Here is a 12,332-nt window from a genome sequence, read left to right on the forward strand (position 1 = left end):
CACTGGATTGGAGGTCTCAATCAGTCAAAAATTGCCTGAAGTGGGGCTACTAGAATTAGGAAGCTAAAAGGATGGGTGGCAGTCAGAGAGACAGATGCTTGAAATTGAGATATTTGGAGGCAGCACATTGATCCATAATGACAGCTATTTGGATACTTGTCCTTTGGCCTTATCGATCATCTGAACCTTTGAAATCTTAAACTCTCATGATTCATATAGACCACAGCCTCCAACTATTTAAGCTCACTCATTCTCTTATTCCTAAAATAGTGGAATCACATCATTCATGTTTTTAACTAATTTAAATTCGGTTCTACAGTCTGGGGAAAAAATGACAGCGGGTAAGACAGAACAGTTTAAATAGCACAGTTGCCTCACTGACTTTCCTTTCAAGAGTGTGTGCTGGGGAGTGAGGATGAGGTGGGAGCCATGAGTCTGCTGTTTCCTAGGTTGACCTCAGTTCCCTTGTACCTCTTATCGCGGGATTGTCTCACGGCCTTCACTGTGATTCCAGTGTTTAAAGAGCACTTCCTCTTGTTGTCAATATGGCCTCTAAACACATGCCAACTGCTTTATGGGCTGCTCAGCCAATGACAGAGTTCTGGGCTAATGCTGGCCATGTAGTTCTGACTGGAAAACAGTATATTGGGTGTCAGTGCAAATAATATATTAAGGGTGATTTAAGGCATTTCCAAAGGTAAATTTGACCACCTAAAATGTATGCCCCAAGTGCTGGCTAAATTTTGAATCCAGGCCCTCCAATGATGCAGCTCCACTATATTCCCATTTTGGCCACAATTGGACCCTCCGTCTCTTGTCCACTACATTTTCTCCCAATGAAATCCACACCCTCATGCTGTCATTTCTTTCCTATTGAATCTGGACCCCCAGAATGCCCCCTTCTGTCCTTTCCATTTCGCCAGACCCTCTTGCCTCTTGTCCCACCAGTGTGCTTGGCCTCCAGAACCTTAAGCCTCAGTTGATTCAAGCATTCCCTTGCTCAGCCGAATGCTGCTGAAAATATTCATGTAAGAGTAATTTCCAATCATGGTTTCCAGCTTCACCTGGCCCCTCATACCTGCTCCTTAATTAATCCTTCTGTATGTCAGAAATTATGCCGTTACCCATCTCTCCAGTGGTTCATCTAACCTCTTTGCCTTTTTCTCACATCCCCTCCCGTACTAACTCCCTCTCGGGTAAGGACTTGCCTATTCCACTGGGAAAATTGAGGCCATCAGGCAAGAACTTTCCCAACTAGAAACTAAACCCACCCTTCCTTCCTTCCTTCCTTCCTTCCTTCCTTCCTTCCTTCCTTCCTTCCTTCCTTCCTTTTTGAGACAGAATCTCACTCTGTCACCCAGGCTAGAGTGCAGTGGCATAATCATGGCTCACTGCAGCCTCAACCTCCTAGGCTCAAGTGATCCTCCTGCCTCAGCCTCCTGACTAGCTGGGACTATAGGCGTGTACCACCATGCCTGGCTAATTTTTATATTTTTTTTTGTAGAGATAGGGTCTTGCTCTATTGCTCAGGCTGGTCTTAAACTCCTGGCCTCAAGCAGTCCTCCTGCCTTGGCCTCCTAAAGTGCTTGGATTACAGGTGTGAGCCACTGCATCTGGCCCCAAACCCTCCCTCTTGACCCATCCCTTATCTTTTCCTCCTGCCTCAGTGAAAGGTATTTCTCTCCCATCTAGGCTTGGAATGCCTCTCACCTTCTCAGGAATCTGCTCACTACAGCTCCTGTCTCCTCTGTATCTTCAGCCTCTTTTCATACATGCTGCGTTTCCTTCAGCACTTGCTCAAGCCAAATCCTGTCTCATTCCTATCCTCTAACTCTCCATTACTTAATAGCCAGGCTATTTGAAAGAGTCAGCTGCAAGAACTACTTCACTCAAAAACCACTGCAGCTCTGTGTCTGTCCCCACCATGCTGGTGAAACTCTCTTCCTTGAGATCATCCATTACTTCCAGGATGCCAAATTCAATGGACCATTATCTTTCCTTCTCCTTCTCTTATGTGACTTCTCTATTACTTTATTCCTCCTTGAAATTCTCTCTTTTTTTTTTTTTTTTTTTGACAGAGTCTCGCTCTGTCACCCAGGCTGGAGTACAGTGGGGCGATCTTGGCTCACTGCAAGCTCTGCCGCCCAGGTTCATGCCATTGTCCTGCCTTAGCCTCCAGAGTAGCTGGGACTACAAGCATGTGCCACCACGCTCAGCTAATTTTTTTGTATTTTTAGTAGAGATTGGGTTTCACCGTGTTAGCCAGGATGGTCTTGATCTCCTGACCTCGTGATCCGCCTGCCTCGGCCTCCCAAAATGCTGGGATTACAGGCATGAGCCACCGCGCCCGGTCTGGTTTTTTGGTTTTTATCATACCACACTGTCCTGATTTTCCTTCCCCCTGTTTGAACCAACTAAGCATCCGTAAAAACCTTCCTCCTCACTCTGACAATGAAGGAAAGGGCTCCCATTACAATCTTAAAATCCATAAAGCTGTGGCCAATTATACCAATTTCTTAGGCCAATGACTCTCAAACTGTGGTCCTGGACCAGCTACCTCAGCATCACCTGGGAACTTGTTAAAATGCAAATTACTGGACTCCACCCCAGAACTACTGAATCAAAAACTTTGGGGATAGGGTTGAACAAACTGTGTTTTAATAAGCTCTCCAGGTGCTTCTGAGGCAAGCTCAAGTTTGAGAACTACTACCTTAGGTCTCTTGACTTCTAGCTCTCAACTCACAATTAAAATGTCTTTATTTATGTGGTGATACTTCTTGGGGTATTTCCAACTAGTATCTCGGAATGCAATGATTAAAAGATGAACTGCTAGATGACTTTGACCATTTTGGCTTTGCCACAATGCTACTTAGTTTAGGTAGGGCTTTGGATATTTTTCTTGGCACTTAATTGTCAGCATTTTGAATGTCCATAGTTCATCCAGATGATAGCCTTATGCATTCACCAAAACTGATGTCTCAGTAGTCACGTATTCCACGCAATCCTTGCTGCCTGCTAAAGTGCTTTCTCTGGACAAATCTGGGGAAGTCGGTGTCTGGTAGTTCAAGATACAGTTCCAGGGGTCTTGTTCTGTCCAGCTAAGAAGTGAGAAAAAGGGGTGATTTGGAGTGGATCCTCCAGTGTCAAAGTCAACCAGAGATTCCTGAAGATTGCCAGATTCTCTTGATGGTTTATTCATGACATTTTCATCTTCATTGTCCCGATATTGGATTATCTTAAGAAGGGAGGTGCCAACAATTTGTGCAGCCAAGGTGCTTATTACATGAATCTATCTCCTGGTTAATTTTACAGGTAATCCCTTTTCAGAGGAGACAGAGTCTCACTCTGTCTCCCAGGCTGGAATGCAGTGGCTCAATCTCGGTTCACTGCAACCTCCGGCTCCCGGATTCAAGCAATTATCCTGCCTCAGCCTCCCAAGTAGCTGAGATTACAGGTGCTCACCACCACACCTGGCTAATTTTTGTATTTTTAGTAGAGAGCATTTCTCCATGTTGGCCAGGCTGGTCTCGAACTCCTGACCTCAAGTAATCTGCCTGCCTTGGCCTCCCAAAGTCCTGGGACTACAGGCGAGAGCCACCGCGCCCAGCCTCTTCCCTGCTGTTAAATATTGCTTTGCCTCTTACTAACCCGGCGACCTTGGCCAAGTTGCTTAACCAATCTGTCCCTTAGTTTCTTCATCTGTAAAGTGGACATAAAAACACCTACTTCTTGCGGTTGTGAGGATTAACTAATGTTATTTAGCATCATGTCTGACAAATAGTAGGTACTTCATACATGGGGTCAAGTTGATCATCATTACTTAAAAAAAGAAGTATCTACCTTGCTTTATGTCTGGAGATTTTGTGGCTGTGTCTCTTGTAGACAGAAAAATGAAATCTAAATGCTGGAAAAAATATACAGAGAAACAGAATGATTTTAAATCCAAGTTCCAGCAAGACACTGGGAAGAGAATATTAGGTGCAGAGAGATCAGATGGGAGAAACAAGATCACACAACAGGAAAGCTGGGAACTGAAGCCATTTTTGAGTTTTAGTTTAATGCTTTACATAGTGGATTGATTTTGCCATTCTGCCTGATTCAGATGCCATGGGGAGAATAACAGATTAATTTGATAGAATCAGAGAATACATAAAAGAGTGTTTAATGGAGTGCTAACAAAGCTCTGAATAGATTTTCTTTTTTTAAACTTTTTAAAAACATAAATAGAACATGTTTATTGTAGAAAAATAGAAGAATTCAGAAGAACAAGAAGAAAGCATCAAAAACTTTAGCAACCTTGTAATCACACTACTCAGAGAAAACCATTATTAATATTTTGTAGTGAATCCTTTCAGTTAACACTTATTTCAATGTGTGCTCATGCACACGTGCATGCACACACACACACACACACACCAGAAACACATATCCCATACACTTTTTTTTTTTTTTTTTCAGACAGAGTCTCACTCTGTCATCCAGACTGGAGTGCAGTGGCGCCATCTCCACTCACTGCAACCTCTGCCTCCCGGGTTCAAGCGATTCTCCTGCCTCAGCTTCCCGAGTAGCTGGGATTACAGGTAAGCGCCACCGTGCCTGGCTAATTTTTGTATTTTTAATAGAGACGGGGTTTCACCATGTTGGCCAGGCTGGTTTCAAACTCCTGACCTCAGGTGATCTGCCCACCTTGGCCTCCCAAAGTGCTGGGATTACAGGCATGAGTCACCATATCCGGCCTCCATACACTTTTTAAACAAATCAATTTGCACCGAATATACCATTTTGTAACCTGGTGTTTCCATTCAACAAAATGTTATGAAAGTTTTCCATAGACCTTATTTCATATGATAAAATATTTCATTTCATGGATACAACCAATTTATTTAACTAATACTGTAACTGATGAATCTAATGACATTATGTACAATGCAATGATAAACATTCCTGTATGTACATATTTTTCATTAATACAACCTTAATTGAGATATACATACAAAAATACAGAAATCATAAGTACATAGCTTGATAAGTCATAGAAAAATAGATATAGCCAGGCAATACCTCCCAACTCAAGAGATAGAGCAATACCAGCATCTCAGATGCTCCCTTTGTGCCCCTCCCAATCACTACCCCTTTTCTCTTCCCTAGTCTTAACTACTATTCTGATTTCTGTCTACCACTATAGATTATTATTGCCTGGTTTTGTACTTAATATACTTGGAATTCTATGATATGTATTATTTTGTGCTTGGCTTCCTTTGTTCAACATTATAAGTGTGAGATTGATTCATGATATTGTAGCTTTGGTTTGTTCATTTTCATTGCTGTATATTATTTCATGGCACAGGTATAACATAATTTATTCATCCACTTTTATTGTTAATGGACATTTGGATTGTTTCCAGTTTTTATTTATTAAGAAAAATATTGTTCGTGAACATTCTTCTACATTTATTTTTGTGCACATATGTACACATTTCTGGAGTATAGGATAGGATTGTTGAGTCATAGTATATTTTCAACTTTCAATTTATTTTCACTTCTGGAGTAGTATCAGTTAAACTCCCCCCAGCAATGTGTGAGAATTCACATTGTTCCATATTTTCTGCAATACTATAGTGTCAGTCACTTTGGTTTTAGCCGTGCTGGTGGATGTGAGGTTATATCTCATGGTTTTACTTTACATGAGGTTGAGCACTTTTAAATATGGTTATTGAATGTTTGGACATCTCTTTTGTAAAGTGCCCATTCAAGACTTCATCATTTTTCCATTGGGTTGCTGTCTTTTTTATTCTAACAGTTCTTTGTACAGTCTGGATGTAAGTCCTTTGTCAGTTATATGTTGCAAATATCTTTGCCAGTGTGTGACTTATGCTACTGCACTCTTTGTGGTATCCTTTGGTGAACGGTAGTCCCTAATCTTAATGAAATCCAGTTTATTAATCTTTTCCTTTTTAAATAAGTGCTTTTTTTTGTCCTATTTAAGAAAGTTTTGTCTACCTCAAGGTCATGAAGATAGTCTCATGTTTTCTTCTAAATCTGTTGTTTCACCTTTTGCATTTAGATTTGCAATCCACCTAGAATTGATTTTTAGGTATGGTGTGAGGTGGGGTCAAATTTCATTTTTGGGTGTGTATATTCCATTGATCCAATACCATTTAATGAAGAGAATGCCTGTTTTCTACTGCTCTGAAATTCTACCTTTGTCACTAATTGAGCATCTGCCTATGTGTGGGACTGTTTCTGTACTCTCTATTCTTCTCCATTGGTTTATTTGTCTATCTTTTCACACAGACCACCCTGCCTCAATTACTATAGTTTTATGATAAATATTGATATCTGATTATGTCTGTTATCCCACCTTGTTTTCTTTCTTCAGCAAGTATTGATAAGACTAAAGGGAAAAAGGAATTTTTATATACTGTTAGTGGAATGTAAATTGGTACACATACTTTGAAAAACAGTTTGGCAGTACATGATGAAGATTCATATATGCTATGACTCAGAAATTCCACTCGTATGTACATACCCAACAGAAATGTGTCCACATGTACACCAACAGGCATGTATAAGAATATTCTTAGTGACATATTTTTTGGAACAAAAATCTGAAAATAACCCAAATGTCCTTCAACAGTAGAATGGACTAATGTATTGTGGTGTATTCATCTACACAGCCACGTAAATAAATGGATCCAGTGTAAGAGACTGTGTTCCTCTGCAACTACAGTGCCTGTGGGGCGGCTCCTCCATAGCTTCACCTCTTGCTGGGATTCAGTAACACATTTCTTTCTCTTGCTTTTCAGGCTTAGGGGGTGGTAACAGTTTCTCACTGTTTCAAGTCAGTGTGCTCTGACAGTAATCCTGTCCACACCTCTGTGCACAGCTCCTTCATAACATCTCTTAATTGGATCATACATGGTGAATTCTGTTTGGTGCCAGGACCCTGAATGACGTACACACACACACACACACACACACACACACACACACACACACTTTTCATGTGGATGCATACGCATGATCGTATTATACATACAATTATTAAAAAGTTTTATACAATTGAATTATTCTAATACAATTCTATTTCCTTTTCTTAGATTACCAGGTTCTGAAACTCACAGGGACTTCAAAAGTCAACCTGTCTAATCCCAACTTTGGGTAGATCAATTGTTTTCACCATGTAACAGATGGGCCACTATGGGCCAGAGAGGTTAAACCCCCTGTTCCTGGTCACACAGCTGGATGGGTGGCTACGTGAAGACTAGAACCCAATCCCCTGATACGGAGCACAGTGAAGTGCCATTTCTCTTACACGCTGGCTTTCAAACTTGGCTGCACTTTAGAATCACCAGAGAGCTTTAAAGAATATTGATGCCTGGGTCCCACCTCCAGAGAACTTGATTTAATTGATTTTGATTTAACATTTTAATAAAACATATTTTAAAGATATTTGTATTATAAATATTTTAATTTTTATTATAAAATAAAACATCACAATAGAATATCACACAAATCAAATGCCTGGTTTAATGAATTATTTTAAGGTGAATACCACCCAGATTTTTTAAAAAATAGAACTTTGCCAGCCACTCTGAAAGCCCCTTCAGTGTAACCCATCCCAACCACAATCTCTCCTCCTCCCCTAAATAACATCCTGATTTGTTTTATTTATTTATTTATTTATTTATTTTAGACACAGAGTCTCTCTCTGTCACCCAGGCTGAAGCGCAATAGCAAGATCATGGCTCACGGCAGCCTCCACGTCCTAGGCTAAAGTGATCCTCCTGCCTCAGCCTCCTGAGTAGCTAAGACCACAGGCCCATGCCACCATTCTCAGTTAAATTTTTTTGTTTGTTTGAGATGGAGTTTCGCTCTTGTTGCCCAGGCTGGAATGCAATGGTACGATCTTGGCTCACTGCAACCTCCGCCTCCCAGGTTCAAGCATTCTCCTACCTCAGCCTCTCAAGTAGCTGGGATTACAGGCATGTGCCACCAAGCCTGGCTAATTTTTGTATTTTTAGTAGAGACGGGGTTTCACCATGTTGGCCAGGCTGGTCTCGAACTTCTGATCTCACATGAACCATCCGCCTCAGCCTCCCAAAGTGCTGGGATTACAGGCATGAGCCACCATGCCCGGTCCTCGGTTAATTTTTAATTTTTAATTTTTTTCTAGAGATGAGATATTGCTATGTTGCCCAGGCTGGTCTCATATTTCTGGCCTCAAGCGATCCTCCTGCTTTGGCCTCCTAAAGTGCTGGGACTGCAGGTATGAGCCACCGTGCCCAGCCATCCTAACTTTTATAGTGATTGCTTCCTTGAAGTTTTCCTTTAGTTTTATGACAGGAATGTGCATCCATAGACACTGTAGTTTGCTCTTGCCCATTAGAAGATATATCTTTTTAAGTATCTTTGAATCTGTGGGTTCCTCCTCCACCCTTTATTTTGCATACAAGCTTTGTGACCTGTACTCTCCCACAGTCTGGATTTCATTATTTGAATTCTCTTGGTACAGTTCAATGTGTTTCTCTGTCCTCTGTATTTCCTGTAAATAGACAGGTGATCCAGAGGTGGATTAGATACAGGTTCGATCCCTTTGACAAAACTATGGACACTGTATGGCAGGACTGTAGGAGGCACAGATTGTCCTGTTGTCATTTTTTAATGATCTTAATAGCTGCAAAGTGTCAGTATCTATCATTCACTGCAGAGTTGTCAACTGCTGATATTCTATCATTTCTGTTTTATTTGAGTTGGAATACTTTCATAAAAACACACATTCTCTCATCTACTGTTTTGTTTTCCAGGAGTAAAGTTCATATAGAAAAGGCAGGTACTATAGTCTAAATGTCTATGTCTCCCCGGAATTCATATATTGAAATCCTAACCCCCAAAGTGATGGTATTAGGAGGTGTGACCACTGGGAGGTGGTCAGGCCATGAGGGCTTTTAGTCCCTTAGACCATGTGAGGACACAGCAAGAAGGTGCCATTCTATGAATCCAGAGGTGGGCCCTCAGCAGAATCCAACCATGATGACATCCTGATCTTGGTCTTTCCAGACTCTAGAATGGTGAGAAATAAAATTCTGTTGTTTATTTATTTCTTTATTTAATTAAATTAATTAATTAATTTATTTTTGAGACTGAGTCTCTCTCTGTCATCCAGGCTGGAGTGCAGTGGCACAATCTCAGCTCACTGCAATGTCCGCCTCCCGGGTTCAAGTGATTCTCCTGCCTCAGTCTCCTGAGTAACTGGGACTATAGGCACACGCCACCACACCCAGATAATTTTTGTATTTTTAGTAGAGATGGGGTTTCACCATGTTGGCCAGGCTGGTCTCGAACTCCTGACCTCGTGATCTGCCCACCTCAGCCTCCCAAAGTGCTGGGATTGCAGACCTGAGCCACCACGCCTGACCTATTTATTTTTTAGAGACAGAGTCTCGTTCTGTCATCCAGGCTGAAGTGCAGTGGCACAACCATAGCTCACTGTAGCCTGGAACTCCTGGGCTCAAGTGATCCTCCCACCTCAGCCTCCCAAGTAGCTGGCACTACAGGCCGAGGCCACCATTCTCAGCTAATGTTTTCTTTGTTTGTAGAGATAGGGTCTCACCAGGTTGTCCAGGTTGGTCTCAAACTTCTGGCCTCAAGCGATCCTCCTGCCTCGGCCTCCCAAAATGTTGAGATTACAGGCGTGAGCTACTGCGCCTGGCCTTCTATTGTTTATTAGCCACCCAGTTTATAGTGTCTTGTTATAGCAGCCCAAGTGGACTGAAAGAGCAGGATAAATGTTCTATTTATTCCTTTTATTTACCAGTTTTCTTTTTTTTTATATATATATATATTTTATTATACTTTAAGTTCTAGGGTACAGGTGCACAACGTGCAGGTTTGTTACATATGTATACATGTGCCATGTTGGTGTGCTGCACCCATTAACTCATCATTTACATTAGGTATATCTCCTAATGCTCTCCCTCCCCGCTCCCCGCACCCCACAACAGGCCCCGGTGTGTGATGTTCCCCTTCCTGTGTCCAAGTGTTCTCATTGTTCAATTCCCACCTATGAGTGAGAACATGCGGTGTTTGGCTTTTTGTCCTTGCAATAGTTTGCTGAGAATGATGACATAGGCATGGGCAAGAACTTCATGTCTAAAACACAAAAAGCAATGGCAACAAAAGCCAAAATTGACAAATGGGATCTAATTAAACTAAAGAGCTTCTGCACAGCAAAAGAAACTACCATCAGAGTGAACAGGCAACCTACAGAATGGGGAAAATTTTTGCAATCTACTCATCTACAAAGAACTCAAACAAATTTACAAGAAAAAAACAAACAACCCCATCAAAAAGTGGGCAAAGGATATGAACAGACACTTCTCAAAAGAAGACATTTATGCAGCCAACAGACACATGAAAAAATGCTCATCATCACTGGCCATCAGAGAAATGCAAATCAAAACCACAATGAGATATTTACCAGTTTTCAAGGCAAAATATTGGTTCCCTATCATCCTTTGAAGGTGACTAATTCCTTTTTTCAAACAAATATCAGATACTTTGATCTTAGATTTAGACACATTTGATGAGTTTCAAGCTATTACAGCTATTATAATTATTGAAGCTTTTCAGTGACAACTGGACAATGTGTGCCTACTATAGTCCTGTCATACAATACCCATAGTTTTGCCATAGGGATTGAACCTATGTCTAATTCACCTCTGGATCAGCTATTTGCAGGAAATACAGAGTTTAGGGAAACACACTGAACTGCACCAAGAGAATTCAAATAACAAATTGTTGACCTATGGCCAATGGGAGCCTCCTCAGGTTGGCCTCTGAGTCCTTTTGACATAACTCTAGTAGTCTTTGATGGCTTGCTTGCAATCTGGTATTACACGATACTCCAGGTTCATCTTGTATTTTTCCTGCCCCAAACTTGGGATCAACTATTGCTTTGGGTAAACTCTTAAACCATGCTTTTCCTCTGCTCTCACACCACAACAATCAACACAGAAGACTTCTGTGACCAAATATATGGGGGTTTTCCCCCAACTACAAGCAGTGAACACCAGCTGGGTGTCTTCCAATTCAACTCCGACTCTATGTACCTGCAGATAACATCGGATTCCACAGGTCGAGGGCTCAGACCCCAAGATTGCCCCCTCCTTCAGACACTAGTTGCAAGTTTGGGCCTCTGAAAGTTCTGACTGACCAGCTTCAAGTTGGGGTTCCCATGACCCCCTCTTTGGGCTTGATTAACTTGCTGGAGTGGCTCACAGAACTCAGGGAAACACATTTACCAGTTTATTATAAAGGATATTACAAAGGAAGCATATGAAGAGATTTGCAGGGCAAGGTATGGTTGAAGGGTTGTAGAGCTTCCAGGCCCTTCCTGGCCATGCCACCCTCCAGGAACCTCCACTTGTTCAGCTGTCCAGAAGCTCTCTGAATCCTCTCCTTTTGGGTTTTTATGGAGGCTTCATTACATTGACAACTGTGTGGAAATGTGATTGGACAAAAAGGATATGATCTCATACTAATAGACTGAGTGGGGAAATCCAGTAAGGTCTGTTTGTTCGGATTCTTCTTGGCCTCTTGGTAAAGTATGGGACGAAACCCTCTCTGGATTGAGGGCCTTTTGACCCTTAATCAGATTAGAGTCCTGACTGGGCAGGTAAAAGGAGGACAGGACAAGGTGAGAGAGATTCTGTTTCCTGAGGCCTGCTCCTGAGGCCTAAAGCACCCCAACATTATAACAAAAGACTGTAACAAGGGCTATGGGAGTTATGAGACAGGAACTGTGGACGAAAACATAGATTTTATATATATATACATAAAATCATAGTATCACGCCCATTTCTTGAGAAGTCCTGGTTTCTTTTAGTGAGAAACAATACTTCAAGGCCCCAATCTGGGTGCTAAGAGATGTTCAATGGTACATCATTAGTTATTGTCTTTATGCTTTTTTTAGTGGACAAAGTGAAATAATCCATGAGTTTAATATTTACAGTTAGATAGTTTTTGTATCAATAGGACTTTTGTTTAACCCCTTCTCTATTATACCTGTGTATTCTTTCTTTTCTACTGAGAATACTTGTTCTTGAGGATGATAGAATTAGAATATGTTGTAATTGTGTATTTGTTTTATCCCATATTACCCACCCAAGAGTATCAGAATAACAGTGCTAATACTCCCACTGACATAATTATTGAAAACATTTTAAACTTTGCATATATTTTCTCTGTTCTCTCTCATCATTTAAAAATAGTTGTATTATTGGGACAACTAGATACCCACATGCAAAAGAATGCAGTTGGATCCCTACCTC

At 41.3% G+C, this 12,332-nt stretch overlaps 1 long non-coding RNA gene across 1 annotated transcript in view, besides 1 other annotated feature; it reads right to left on the bottom strand.

Moving 5' to 3' along the window:
• Positions 322-616: an enhancer, noted in NCBI's record as "tiled region #5299; HepG2 Activating non-DNase unmatched - State 20:ReprD, and K562 Activating DNase matched - State 9:DNaseU". NCBI's record gives its function as "activates a minimal TATA promoter and a strong SV40 promoter by Sharpr-MPRA in HepG2 cells, with weaker activity in K562 cells {active_cell/tissue: HepG2 | K562}" and the evidence as "EXISTENCE:reporter gene assay evidence [ECO:0000049][PMID:27701403]".
• The window catches only part of LOC105374804 (uncharacterized), a 33,362-nt gene continuing 29,630 nt past the window's right edge, over positions 8,601-12,332 (bottom strand). The window contains exon 4 of the long non-coding RNA XR_007087053.1: positions 8,601-9,063. This is a non-coding gene — a long non-coding RNA (uncharacterized LOC105374804). The remainder of the gene's footprint in view (positions 9,064-12,332) is intronic.

This window comes from Homo sapiens, chromosome 2, assembly GCF_000001405.40.
Source record: "Homo sapiens chromosome 2, GRCh38.p14 Primary Assembly".
NCBI lineage: Eukaryota > Metazoa > Chordata > Mammalia > Primates > Hominidae > Homo > Homo sapiens.